Consider the following 14,706-nt stretch of genomic DNA (forward strand, 5'->3'; position numbering starts at 1 on the left):
TGATGGATTATGTTCATTGAGTTCTGTATGTTGAACCAGCCTTGCATCCTGGGGATGAAGCTGGCCTGATTGTGGTGGATAAGCTTTTTGATGTGTGGTTAGATTCAGTTTGCCAGTATTTTATTGAATATTTTTGCATCGATGTCCATCAGGGATATTGGCCTGAAATTTTCTTTTTTGTTGTGTCTCTGCCAGTCTTTGGTATCAGCATGATGCTGGCCTCATAAAGTGAGTTAGGGAGAATTCCCTCTCTTTCTGTTGTTTGGAATAGTTTCACAAGGAATGGTACCAGCTCCTCTTTGTACCTCTGGTAGAATTTGGCTGCAAATCTGTCTGGTCCTGGGCTTGTTTTAGTTGGTAGGCTATTAATTACTGCCTCAATTTCAGAACTTGTTATTGTTCTATTCAGGGATTTGACTTCTTCCTGGTTTAGACTGGTGAGGCTGTATGTATCCAGGAATTTATCCACTTCTAGGTTTTCTAGTTTATTTGTGTTGAGATGTTTTTATAGTATTTTCTGATGGTAGTTTGTATTTCTGTGAGATCAGTGGTGATATCCTATTTAACTTTTTTCATTGAGTCTATTTGATTATTCTCTCTTTTCCTTTTTATTAGCTTGGCTAGTGGTCTATTTTGTTAACCTTTTCTAAAAACCAGCTCCTGCATTCATTGACTTTTTTTGAAGGGTGTTTTATGTCTCCATCTCTTTCAGTTCAGCTCTGATCTTAGTTATTTCTTGTCTTCTGCTAGCTTTTGAATGTGTTTGCTCTTGCTTCTCCAGTTCTTTTAATTGGGATATTAGGGTGTCAATTTTGGATCTTTCCTGCTTTCTCTTGTGGGCATTTAGTGCTATAAATTTCCCTCTAAACACTGCTTTAGCTGTGTCTCAGAGATCCTAGTATGTTGTCTCTTTGTTCTCATTGGTTTCAACAAACTTTGTTATTTCTGCCTTAATTTTGTTATTTAACCCAGTAGTCATTCAGGAGCAGGTTATTCAGTTTCCATGTAGTTGAATGGTTTTGAGTGAATTTCTTAATCCTGAGTTCTAATTGTATTGCACTGTGGTCTGAGAGACTGTTTGTTATGATTTCCGTTCTTTTGCGTTTGCTGAGGAGTGTTTTACTCCCAGTTATGTGGTTGATTTTAGAGTAAGTGCTATGTGCTGTGAGAAGAATGTATATCTGTTGATTTGGGTTGGAGAGTTCTGTAGATGTCTATTAGGTCTACTTGGTCTAGAGATGAGTTCAAATCCTGAATAGGCTTGTTAAATTTCTGTCTCATTGATCTGTCTAATACTGATAGTGGAAAGTTAAAGTCTCCCACTATTATTATGTGGGACCTAAGTCTCTTTATAGGTCTCTAAGAACTTCTTTTATGAATCTGGGTGCTCCTGTATTGGGTGCATATATATTAGAATAGTTAGCTCTTCTTGTTTCATTGGTCCGTTTACCATTATGTAGTGGCCTTCTTTGTCTCTTTTGATCTTTGTTGTTTTAAAGTCTGTTTTATCAGAGACTAGGATTGCAACCCCTGCTGCTTTTTGCTTTCCATTTGCTTGGCAAATTTTCCTCCATCCCTTTATTTGTTTTGAGCCTACGTGTGTCTTTGCATGTGACATGGGTCTCCTTAATATAGGACACTGATGGATCCTGACTCTTTATCCAATTTTCCCATCTGTGTCTTTTAATTGGGGCATTTAGCCCATTTACATTTAAGGTTAATATTGTTATGTGTGAATTTGATCCTGTCATCATGATGCTAGCTGTTTATTTTTCACATTAGTTTATGCAGTTTCTTCATAGAGTCATTAGTCTTTATATTTTGGTGTGTTTTTGCAGTGGCTGGTACTGATTTTTCCTTTCCATATTTAAGTCTTCCTTCAGGAGCTCTGGTAAGGCAGGCCTGGTGGTGACAAAATCCTCAGCATTTGCTTGTCTGTAAAGATTTTATTTCTCCTTCACTTATGAAGCTTAGTTTGGCTGGATATGAAATTCCAGGTTAAAAATTCTTTTCTTTAAGAATGTTGAATATTGGCCCCCACTCTCTTCTGGTTTGTAGGGTTTCTGCCGAGAGATCCACTGTTAGTCTGATGGGCTTCCCTTTGTAGATAACCTGTCCGTTCTCTCTGGCTGCCCTACACATTTTTTCCTTAGTTTCAACCTTGGAGAATCTGATGATTATGTGTCTTGGGGTTCCTCTTCTCGAGGAGTATGTTAGCGTTGTTTTCTATATTTCCTGGATTTGAATGTTGGCCTGTCTTGCTAGGTTGGGGAAGTTCTCCTGGATAATATCCTGAAGAGTGTTTTCCAACTTGGTTCCATTTTCCCCATCACTTTTGGGTAAACCAATCACTGCTTATTTCATTAAGTTGACCTTCAGTCTCTGATATCCTTTCTTCTGCTTCATCAATTCAGCTATTGATACTTCTGTATGCTTCACGAAGTTCTTGTGCTGTGTTTTTTTTTTTTTTTTTATATCTCCATCAGGTCATTAATGTTCTTCTCTAAACTGGTTATTCTAGTTAGCAGCTCCTGTAACCTTTTATCAAGGTTCTTAGCTTCCATGCATTGGGTTAGAATATGAGTTCCCCTCTAGCTGAGAGGAGTTTGTTATTATCCATCTTCTGAAGCCTACTTCTGTTAACTCAGCAAACTCCTTCTCCATCCAGTTTTGTGCCCTTGCTGGAGAGGAGTTGCAATCATTTGGAGGAGAAGAGGCATTCTGGTTTTTGGATTTTTTTTTTTTTTTTTTTGCATTTTTACGCTAGTTTTCCTTATCTTCCTAGATGTATCTACTTTTGATCTTTGAGGCTGATGACCATTGGATGGGGTTTTAGTGTGGGGGTCTTTTATGTTGATGTTGATGTTATTACTTTCTGTTTGCTAGTTTTTCTTCCAACAGTCAGCTCCCTCTTCTGCAGGTCTCCTGCAGTTTGGTGGAGGTCCACTCCAGACCCTGTTTGCCTGGGTATCACCAGCAGAGGCTGTGGAACAGCAAAGATTGCTGCCTGCTCCTTCCTATGGAAGCCTTGCCCCAGAGGGGCACTGGCCTGATGCCAGCTGGAGCTCTCCTGTATGAGGTATCTGTCAACCCTTGCTGGGAGTTCTCTCCCAGTCAAGAGGCATGGGGTTCAGGGACCCACTTGAGGAGGCAGTCTGTCCCTTAGCAGAGCTCGAGGACTCTGCTGGGAGAATCCTCCTTGTCAGGATCCACTCTTCTGTTCAAAGCTGGCAGGCAAGAAGGTTTAAATCCACTGAAGCTTTGCCCACAGTTGCTCCTTCCCCCAGGTGCTCTGTCCCAGGGAGATGGGAGTTTTATCTATAAGTCCCTGACTGGTGCTGCTGCCTTTCTTTCAGAGATGCCCTGCCGAGTGGGGAGGAATTTAGAGGCGTAGTCTGGCCACAGCTGCTTTGCTGCGCTGTGGTGAATTCTGTCCAGTACAAATTTCCTGGCCTGCTTAGCACTGTCAGGGGAAAACTGCTTACTGAAACCTCAGTAATGGCCCCTCCCCCCAGTAAGCTCGGTTGTCCCAGGTTGACTTCAGATTGCTGTGCTGGCAGCGAAAATTTCAATCTAGTGGTTCCTAGCTTGCTGGGCTTCATGGGAGTGGGACCCACTAAGCGAGACCACTTGGCTCCCTGGCTTCAGTCCCCTTTGTAGGGGAGTGAATGGTTCTGTCTCACTTGGGCTCCAGGCACAAAACAAACAAACAAAACAACAACAACAGCAACAAAAAACTCCTGTAGCTAGCTTGGTGTCTGCCCAAACAGCTCCCCAGTTTGGCGCTTGCAACCCAGTGCTCTGGCGATGTCAGCACAGAAGGGAGTATCCTGCTCCGTGGATTGCAAAAACCATGGGGAAAGCATAATATCTGGGCTGGATAGCATAGTCCCTCATGGCTTCCCTTGGCTGTGGGAGGAAGATCCCTGGCAATGCAGAAACACCCTGCCTTCTGCATTGGTCTCACTGAGAGCTGCAGACAGGAGCTGTTCCTATTCAACCATCTTGCCAGATCTCCATCTTCTCAAAGTTTTACTGTTTCTAGTCTTATGTTGCCATCTTTCATCCATTTTGAGTTGATTTTTGTATATGATAAAAAATAAGGGTTCACTTTTTTCTTTTGGTTGTGGACATCCAATTTTCTCAGCACCATTTTTTGAAGAAACTCATCTTTCTTCATTGAGTATATTTGGGACTCTTATTGAAGATCAGTTAGCTGTATATATTCATGGATTTATTTCTAGGCTTTCTAGTTTGTTATGTAGATCTGTATCTGTTAATGTGGTATAATATACGTGTTAATTTTTGTATGTGAAACTATCTTTCATTCTAGGAATAAACTTGCCATGTCTTCTAGGAAAGAAGTGATGCTGAGTCTGAATACACAGTAAAAGCCAAGCAACACTACTGGTCTTGCAATCTCAAAAGGAAGAGTGAGACTTTTTACATAATTTAATTATTGAAGATTTCATTGGCAAAATTAAAAACAAAAATTCTGCTCAAAATGAAGCCAAAATATTCTGAGTATTTGCAAAACAATGTTGATACTATGAGTGGAGTTGTTAATGTTTTGTGTTCAAATACAATGTGTGAAACATAAGGAAGCTCAGTAACTTTTGTGTGGGGTAACTTTTGGATTAGAATAATAAATTTCAATATAAGCCCATAAGGTTTTATATTATTATTTTTCATAGCTTAAAAATCATTGACATAGAATAATTCCAACTAAAGTACATATTAAATTCCTGGAAAATAAATTTTGACTTAACAGGGTAAGTTGTGAAAAGACGTTTTGTCGCAGGAAAAAGGAAATCCTCCATTTAAAACCCTCCATGCTGGAATAAAGGAGGAGTCCCATCTTTTGGTCATTCCACTTCAGGCTTTTGATATAACTAATCCCTTTTCTTCTTCTTTCCTGTTTTGGCAAGCTTTCGGAAACAAAACAGGCAACATTTTGTGATCATAAATATCATAGTTGCCACGCAGGCCAGCAGGAATGCTATCACATCCAAAGAGTGGTACTGGATCCAGGTGAGGTTGTGGGCTGCGACCCGAAGGTGCTTGGCTCCTTTATGGCGCATGACAAACTCAATCCAGAAGACTGCTCGATCCAGGGGCTTCACCGGTTGATCATGATGAATTCTTGATAATTTCATGATATTCTCTTTATAGCTGAAGGATAAATATAAAGATATCAACATTAAAAGTAAATTTATTGCTTAAGCATATCAAGTCTATGGATGGTCTTTGAAAAGCGCCACACAAGTGATTCAAAGTAAGTGTCATTGAATTGACATAAAATATTAATGTTTTAATGTATGTCATTACAGAAAGTTTGGTTTTTAAATTGGAGTTTTATCACTGACAAATACCTTTAAAAATGAAAAATGGAATTTTCGGTGGGAAAGTTAATGTTTTTCTAGAGCAGAAAATATTGTGAGCCATTCTAAGTGCTATAAGTAAGATAGTGGAAATAGAATCTGGGAATGATCATTTTGATATTTTTAGTTTTTTTTTTTTTTGAGACAGGCTTTTGCTCCATTACACAGGCTGAGTGCAGTCACATGATCATGGCTCAGTGCAGCCTTTCCGTTTCGGTCTCAGGTAATCCTCCACCTCAGCCTCATGAGAAGCTGGGGCTACAGCTGCGCACCACCATGCCTGGCTATATTTTTTATTTTTTACATTTTTAGATATGAGGTCTTGCTGTAGTGCCCATACTCATCTGGAACTCCTGTGGTCTAATCATTCTGCCTCTGTCTCCCAAAGTGTTGGCCCTACAGACATGAACCACTGTGCCCAGCCCATTTTGACATATTTAAAGAAGAATTGTGTCACAACTGGTGAAATGTCTCCTAACTAGTTTCTCAGCTTCTACTCTAATCTTCTGTCTTCTACCGTATTTTCCTACTAGTAGCCAGAACATTTTCTAAATTAATGTCAAATTATGACAGTTGCCTGTCAAGATTTCCATCTGGTTTCTTGTTACATTAAGAATAAAATCCAAATCTGTCTGTGGTCTAGAGAACGCTACACAGACACCTACTTGTCCTAACCCTTTCCCCCTGTACACTTTCTTCTAGAGACAATGGCCTTCTGTTGTTCTTTAAACTCCTGAAGGTGTTCTCACCTTAGCCCGTTTACACCTTTTGTTCCCCGTGTCTCTCTCATTGAGCATTCTTTCTTGCAACTACTTGAGGTTTGCTTCTATTTCTTTTTGAGGCTTCCCCTTAAATGATACCTCTTAGAGAGTGTTTTCCTGGCCACACTATAGGCACCCATAGGATTTCTCTACTGCTTCGTTCTTATTTTGCTATTTGATTTCTGGAACTTTAAAATATGTTATATATCTTCCACAATAAAAGTTTAAGTATGAAATACATAGGATAAATGTATATACGCTATGTGACTATCTCAAAATTTTAAGATTATCTTAAACATTATCCAAAAGTGAAAACACCAATTTATCACAAACTGCATAGAAGAACTCTTTCCTCCTGGGCCATTTTAGTCACTACTTTTATCCTCAAAGTAAGTATTAACCTGAATTCTAATATCATAGATTATGTTTATATAATTGAATTAAATAATACTTATTCATTTCTGTTTTTGTTTAGCAGTTGTTTAATTGCACTGGTGTAGAGTATTCAGTTGATTGACAAAGACCACAGATCTCTTCATTTATGATTAATGGATATTTGTGTTGTTAACATTTTTTGATCTTACTAATAATTATGGTATTAAGATATTTATATATTTTATTAGATTTACATACTTATTCATTTTTGTTGGATGTATACTTGGAAGAATAGTTGATGAGAGAAAGGCATATTTATAATTAGAATTTTTTGACTGAATTTTTTAAAAAATATTTTTTATTTTAAAGAATCAGAGATTGTTTTTAGTTATCATTTTCTGGATGATTTATAATTTGATTCTAGTATGACTAGAACATACTATTTTTATGAATTTGAATCTTATACAATTTACTTAGCATTTTTTTATGGCCCAGCATATGGTCAATTCCAGTAACTATTTCATACATATAATCTTTTTTTTTTTTTTTTTTTGAGACAGAGTCTCTCTCTGTCACCCAGGCTTGAGTATGACGGAGCGATCTTGGCTGACTGCAACTTACGTCTCCTGGGTTCAAGTGATTCTCATGCCTCAACCTCCCAAGTGTCTGGGACTACAGGTGCTCATCCCCCACATCTGGCTAAGTTTTGTATTACTAGTGGACACAGGATTTCACCATGTTGGCCAGGCTGGTCTCGAACTCCTGACCAAATGTGATCCTCCCACCTTGGCCTCCCAAAGTGTTGGAATTACAGGTGTGAGCCACCACACCCAGTCTCCATAAACTCTTTTAAAAATGTTTATTTTCTGTCTACACACACACAACCAGAGATATATGTATGGATACATATATACAGATATATGTGCAATATATATACACACACACACATATAACACATAGGTTACATTTAATTGTGTACTTCAAATGTTTTATCTCCTTAAATAAAAGTTTTCAAAGATCATTATTTTGTCTACTTTGGTCTGTTTAAATTTAATGCGAGTACTGGTAGGTTCACTTTTTTGTTGTGATCTTTGAGATGGAGTCTCGCTCTGTCACCAGGCTGGAGTGCAGTGGCACTATCTCAGCTCACTGAAACCTCCGTCTCCCAGGTTCAAGTGATTCTCCTGCCTCAAACTCCTGAGGAGCTGGGACTACAGGTGCACACCACCATGCCTAGCTAATTTTTGTATTTTTAGTAGAGACAGGGTTTCACTATGTTGGCCAGGAGTATGGTCTCGATCTCTTGACCTCGTGATCTGCCCTCCTCAGCCACCCAAAGTGCTGGGATTACAGGCTTGAGCCACCACATCTGGTCGGTTCACATTTTTTAAAAACAGTTTTATTTTAAGTTCCAGGATACATACGCAGAATGTGTGGGTTTGTTACATAGGTATATGTGTGCCATGGTGGTTTGCAGCACCTATCAATCTGTCATCTAGATTTTAAGTCCCTCATGTATTAGCTATTTGTCCTGATACTCTCACTCCCATTCCATGCCCCGAATGGCCCCGGTGTGTTTTGCTCCCCTCCCTGAGTCCATGTATTCTCATTTTTCGACTCCCTCTTATGAGTGAGAACATGTGGTGTTTGGTTTTCTGTTCCTGTGTTAGTTTGCTGAGGATAATGGCTTTGAGTTTCATCCATGTCCCTGCAACAGACATAATCTCATTCCTTTTTATGGCACATAGTATGCCGCCATACTGTACATGCATCATATTTTCTTTATCCAGTCTATCATTGATGAGTATTTGTGTTGGTTCCATATCTTTGATATTGTAGATAGTGCTGCAATAGACATACATGTGCATGTGTCTTTACAGTAGAATGATTTATATGCCTTTGGGTATATATCAAGTAATGAGATTGCTAGGTCAAATGGTGTTTCTGGTTCTAGATCTTTGAGGAATCACCACATTGTTTTCCATGATGGTTGAACTAACTTACATTCCCACCAAAAATGTAAAAGTTTTCCTATATCTCCCCAGTTTCACCAGCATCTGTTGTTTTTTGACTTTTTAATCATCTCCATTCTGACTGGCATGAGATTGTATCTCATTGTGGTTTTGATTTGCATTTCTCTAATGATCAGTGATATTGAGCTTTTCTCATAAGTGTGTTGGCTGCATAAATGTATTTTTTTGAGAAGTGTCTGTTTATATCCTTTGCCCACTTTTTGGTGGTGGTGTTTTTTTTCTTGTAAATTTGTTTAAGTTACTTGTAGATTCTGGATATTGGACCTTTGTCAGAGGGATAGATTGCAAAAATGTTCCCTCATTCTGTAGGTTGCCTGTGCCCTCTGATGATGGTTTATTTTGCTGTGCAGAAGCTCTTTAGTTTAATTTGATCCCATTTGTCAACTTTGGCTTTTATTGTAATTGCTTTTGGTGTTTGTGTCATGAAATTTTTGCCCACGCCTATGTCCTGAATGATGTTGCTTAGGTTTTCTTCCAGGGTTTTTATGGTTTTGGGTTTTACATTTAAGTCTTTAATCCATCTTGAGTTAATTTTTGTATAAGGTGTAAGGCAGGGGTATAGTTTCTGTTTTTTGCATATGGCCAGCCAGTTTCCCCAGCACCATTTATTAAATAGGGAATCCTTTCCCATTGCTTGTTTTTGTCAGTTTTGTCGAAGATCAGATGGCTGTAGATGTGTGGTGTTATTTCTGAGGCCTCTGTTCTGTTCCATTGGTCTATATGTCTGCTTTTGTTCCAGTACTATGCTGGTTTGGTTACTGTAAGGTGTAAGGAAGGGATCCAGTTGCAGTTTTCTCCATATGGCTAACCAGTTTTTCCAAAACACCATTTATTAAATAGGGAATCCTTCCCCTAATTGCTTGTTTTTGTCAGGTTTGTCAAAGATCAGATGGTTGTAGATGTGTAATGTTATTTCTGAGGCGTATGTTCTGTTCCATTGGTCAATACATCTTTTTGGTACCAGTACCATTCTGTTTTGGTTATGTAGCCTAATAGTATAGTTTGACATCAGGTAGCGTGATGCCTCCAGCTTTGTTCTTTTTGCTTAGGGTTGTCTTGGCTATATGGGCTCTTTTTTGGTTCCATATTAAATTTAAAGTAGTTTTTTTCTAGCTCTGTGAGGAATGTCAATGGTAGTTTGATGGGAATAGCTTTGAATATATAAATTACTGTGGGAAGAAGCCAAGATGGCCGAATAAGAACAGCTCCAGTCTACAGCTCCCAGTGTGAATGACACAGATGAGGAATGATTTCTGCATTTCCAACTGAGGTACTGGGTTCATCTCCCAGGGGACTGTCAGACAGTGGGTGCAGGACAGTGGGTGCAGCGCACCACGTGTGAGCCAAAGCATGGCGAGGCATTGCCTCATCAGGGAAGCACAAGGGGTCTGTGAATTCCCTTCCCTAGCCAAGGATAGGGGTAACAGATGGCACCTGGAAAATTGGGTTACTCCCACCCTAATACTGCGCTTTTCCAAAAGGTTTTAGCAAACGGCACACCAGGAGATTATATCGCGCACCTGGCTCAGAGGGTCCTACGCCCACGGAGCCTCGCTCATTGCTAGCACAGCAGTCTGAGATCGAACTGCAAGGCAGCAGTGAGACTGGGGGAGGGGCGCCTGCCATTCCCATGGATTGAATAGGTAAACAAAGCGGCCCAGAAGCTTGAACTGGGTGGAGCCCACCGCAGCTCAAGGACGCCTGCCTGCCTCTGTAGATCCACCTCTGGGGGCAGGGCATAACCAAACAAAAGGCAGCAGAAACCTCTGCAGTCTTAAATGTCCCTGTCTGACAGCTTTGAAAAGAGTAGTGGTTCTCCCAGCACGCAGCTTGAGATCTGAGAATGGACAGACTGCTACTCAAGTGGGTCCTGATCCCCGAGTAGCCTGACTGGGAGGCACCCCCCAGTAGGGGCAGACTGACACCTCACACAGCCGGGTACTCCTCTGAGAAAACTTCCAGAGGAACAATCAGACAGCAACATTTGCTGTTCACTAATATCCACTGTTCTGCAGTGTCCGCTGCTGATACCCAGGCAAACAGGATCTGCAGTGGACCTCCAGCAAACTCGAACAGACCTGCAGCTGAGGGTCCTGACTGTTAGAAGGAAAACTAACAAACGGAAAGGACATCCACACCAAAACCCATTTCTACATCGCCATCATCAAAAACCAAAGGTAGATAAAACCACAAAGATGGGGGAAAAAAGAGCAGAAAAACTGGAAATTATAAAATCAGAATGCCTCTCCTCCTCCAAAGAAATGCAGCTCCTCACCAGCAATGGAACAAAGCTGGATGGAGAATGACTTTGACGAGTTCAGAGAAGAAGGCTTCAGACGATCAAACTACTCCGGACTAAAGGAGGAAGTTCGAACCGAAGGCAAAGAAGGTAAAAACCTTGAAAAAAGATTAGATGAATGGCTAACTAGATAACCAATGCAGAGAAGTCCTTAAAGGACCTGATGGAGCTGAAAACCATGGCACGAGAACTATGTGATGAATGCACAAGCCTCAGTAGCTGATTTGATCAACTGGAAGAAACGGTATCAGTGATGGAAGATGAAATGAATGAAATGAAGCAAGAAGAGAAGTTTAGACAAAAAAGAATAAAAAGAAATGAACAAAGCCTCCAAGAAATATGGGACTATGTGAAAAGACCAAATCTACATCTGATTGGTGTACCTGAAAGTGACGGGGAGAATGGAAACAAGTTGGAAAACACTCTGCAGGTTATCATCCAGGAGAGCTTCCCCAATCTAGCAAGGCAGGCTGACATTCAAATTCAAGACATACAGAGAATGCCATAAAGATACTCCTCAAGAAGAGCAACTCCAAGACACATAATTGTTAGATTCACCAAAGTTGAAATGAAGGAAAAAATGTTAAGTGCAGCAAGAGAGAAAGGTCAGGTTACCCACAAAGGGAAGCCCATCAGACTAACAGCTGATCTCTTGGCAGAAACTCTACAAGCCAGAAGAGAGTGGGGGCCAATATTCAACATTCTTAAAGAAAAGAATCTTCAACCCAGAATTTCATATCCAGCCAAACTAAGCTTCATAAGTGAAGGAGAAATAAAATAAAATCTCTAAGCATTTACAGACAAGCAAATGCTGAGAGATTTTGTCACCACCAGGCCTGCCCTAAAAGAGCTCCTGAAGGAAGCACTAAACATGGAAAGGAACAACTGGTACCAGCCACTGCAAAAACATGCCAAATGATAAAGACCACTGAGGCTAGGAAAAAACGGCATCAACTATCGAGCAAAACAATCAGCTAACATCATAATGACAGGATCAAATTTACACATAACAATATTAACCTTAAATGTAAATGGGTTAAATGCTAGAATTAAAAGACACAGACTGGCAAACTGGATCAAGAGTCAAGACCCATCACTGTGCTGTATTCAGGAAACCCATCTCATGTGCAGAGACACACATAGGCTCAAAATAAAGGGATGGAGGAAGATCTACCAAGCAAATGGAAAGCAAAAAAAGGCAGGGATTACAATCCTAGTCTCTGATAAAACAGACTTTAAACCAGCAAAGATCAAAAGAGACAAGGCCATTACATAATGGTAAAGGGATCAATTCAACAAGAAGAGCTAACTATCCTAAATATACATGCACCCAGATTCATAAAGCAAGTCCTTAGATACCTACAAAGAGACTTAGACTCCCACACAATAATAATGGGACACTTTAACAAACCACCGTCAACATTAGACAGATCAACGAGAAAAAGTTAACAAGGATATCCAAGAATTGAACTCAGCTCTGCACGAAGAGGACCTAATAGACATCTACAGAACTCTGCACCCCAAATCAACAGAATGTACATTCTTTTCAGCACCACACCACACCAACTCCAAAACTGACCACATAGTTGGAAGTAAAGCACTCCTCAGCAAATGTAAAAGAACAGAAATTATAACAAACTATCTCTCAGACCACAGTGCAATCAAACTAGAACTCAGGATTAAGAAACTCACTCAAAACTGTTCAACTACATGGAAACTGAACAACCTGCTTCTGAATGACTACTGGGTACATAATGAAATGAAGGCAGAATTAAAGATGTTCTTTGAAACCAACGAGAACAAAGACACAACATACCAGAATCTCTGGGACGCATTCAAAGCAGTGTGTAGATGGAAATTTATAGCACTAAATGCCCACAAGAGAAAGCAGGAAACATCTAAAATTGACACCCTAACGTCACAATTAAAAGAACTAGAGAAGCAAGAGCAAACACATTCAAAAGCTAGCAGAAGGCAAGAAATAACTAAAATCAGAGCAGAACTGAAGGAAATAGAGACACAAAAAACTCTTCAAAAAATCAATGAATCCAAGAGCTGGTTTTTTGAAAAGGCCAACAAAATTGATAGACTGCTAGCAAGACTAATAAAGAAGAAAAGAGAGACGAATCAAATAGATGGAATAAAAATGATTAAGGGGGTATCACCACCGATTCCAGAGAAATACAAACTACCATCAGAGAATACTATAAACACCTCTACGCAAATAAACTAGAAAATCAAGAAGAAATGGATAAATTCCTCGACACACACACCCTCCCAAGACTAAACCAGGAAGAAGTTGAATCTCTGAATAGACTAATAACAGGCTCTGAAATTGAGGCAATAATTAATAGCTTACCAACCAAAAAAAGTCCAGGACCAGATGGATTCACAGCTGAATTCTACCAGAGGTACAAGGAGGAGCTGGTACCCTTCCTTCTGAAACTATTCCAATCAACAGAAAAAGAGGGAATCCTCCCTAACTCATTTTATGAGGCCAACATCATCCTGATACCAAAGCCTGGCAGGGACACAAGAAAAAAAAGAGAATTGTAGACCAATATCCCTGATGAACATCGATGCAAAAATCCTCAATAAAATACTGGCAAACTGAATCCAGCAGCACATCAAAAAGCTTATCCACCTTGACCAAGTGGGCTTCATCCCTGGGATGCAAGGCTAGTTCAACGTACACAAATCAATGAATGTAATCCAGCACATAAACAGAACCAATGACAAAAACCACATGATTATCTCAATAGATGCAGAAAAGACCTTTGACAAAATTCAACAACACTTCATGCTAAAAACTCTCAATAAATTAGGTATTGATGGGGAGTATCTCCAAATAATAAGAGTTATCTATGACAAACCCACAGCAAATATCATGTTGAATGGGCAAAAGGTGGAAGCATTCCCTTTGAAGACTGGTACAAGACAGGGATGCCCTCTCTCACCACTCCTATTCAACACAGTGTTGGATGTTCTGGCCAGGAGAATAAGGCAGGATAAGGAAATACAGGGTATTCAATTAGGAAAAGAGGAAGTCAAATTGTCCCTGTTTGCAGAAGACATGATTGTATATCTAGAAAACCTGATCGTCTGAGCCCCAAATCTCCTTAAGCTGATAAGCAACTTCAGCAAAGTCTCAGGATAAAAAATCAATGTGCAAAAATCACAAGCATTCTTATACACCCATAACAGACAAACAGAGAGCCAAATCATGAGTGAACTCCCATTCACAATTGCTTCAAAGAGAATAAAATACCTAGGAATCCAACTTACAAGGGATGTGAAGGACCTCTTCAAGGAGAACTACAAACCACTGCTCAAGGAAATAAAAGAGGAAACAAACCAATGGAAGAACGTTCCATGCTCATGGGTAGGAAGAATCAATATCGTGAAAACGGCCATACTGCCCAAGGTAATTTATAGATCCAATGCCATCCCCATCAAGCTACCAATGACTTTCTTCACAGAATTGGAAAAAACTACTTGAATTCATATGGAACCAAAAAAGAGCCCGCATCACCAAGTCAATCCTAAGCCAAAAGAACAAAGCTGGAGGCATCACACTACCTGACTTCAAACTATACTACAAGGCTACAGTAACCAAAACAGCATGGTACTGGTACCAAAACAGAGATATAGACCAATGGAACAGAACAGAGCCCTCAGAAATAATGCCACACATCTACAACTATCTGATCTTTGACAAACCTTACAAAAACAAGAAATGGGGAAAGGATTCCCTATTTAATAAATGGTGCTAGGAAAACTGGCTAGCCATATGTAGAAAGCTGAAACTGGATACCTTCCTTACACCTTATACAAAAATTAATTGAAGATGGATTAAA

At 39.8% G+C, this 14,706-nt stretch overlaps 1 protein-coding gene across 1 annotated transcript in view; it reads right to left on the reverse strand.

Annotated features, from left to right (window-relative positions):
* Positions 4,441-14,706, reverse strand: part of UGT2B17 (UDP glucuronosyltransferase family 2 member B17) — a 39,150-nt gene continuing 28,884 nt past the window's right edge. Inside the window, exon 7 of the mRNA NM_001077.4 lies at positions 4,441-5,172. Coding sequence (NP_001068.1) covers positions 4,893-5,172 — 280 coding nt within the window. The 3' untranslated portion in view covers positions 4,441-4,892. The remainder of the gene's footprint in view (positions 5,173-14,706) is intronic.

This window comes from Homo sapiens, chromosome 4, assembly GCF_000001405.40.
Source record: "Homo sapiens chromosome 4, GRCh38.p14 Primary Assembly".
NCBI lineage: Eukaryota > Metazoa > Chordata > Mammalia > Primates > Hominidae > Homo > Homo sapiens.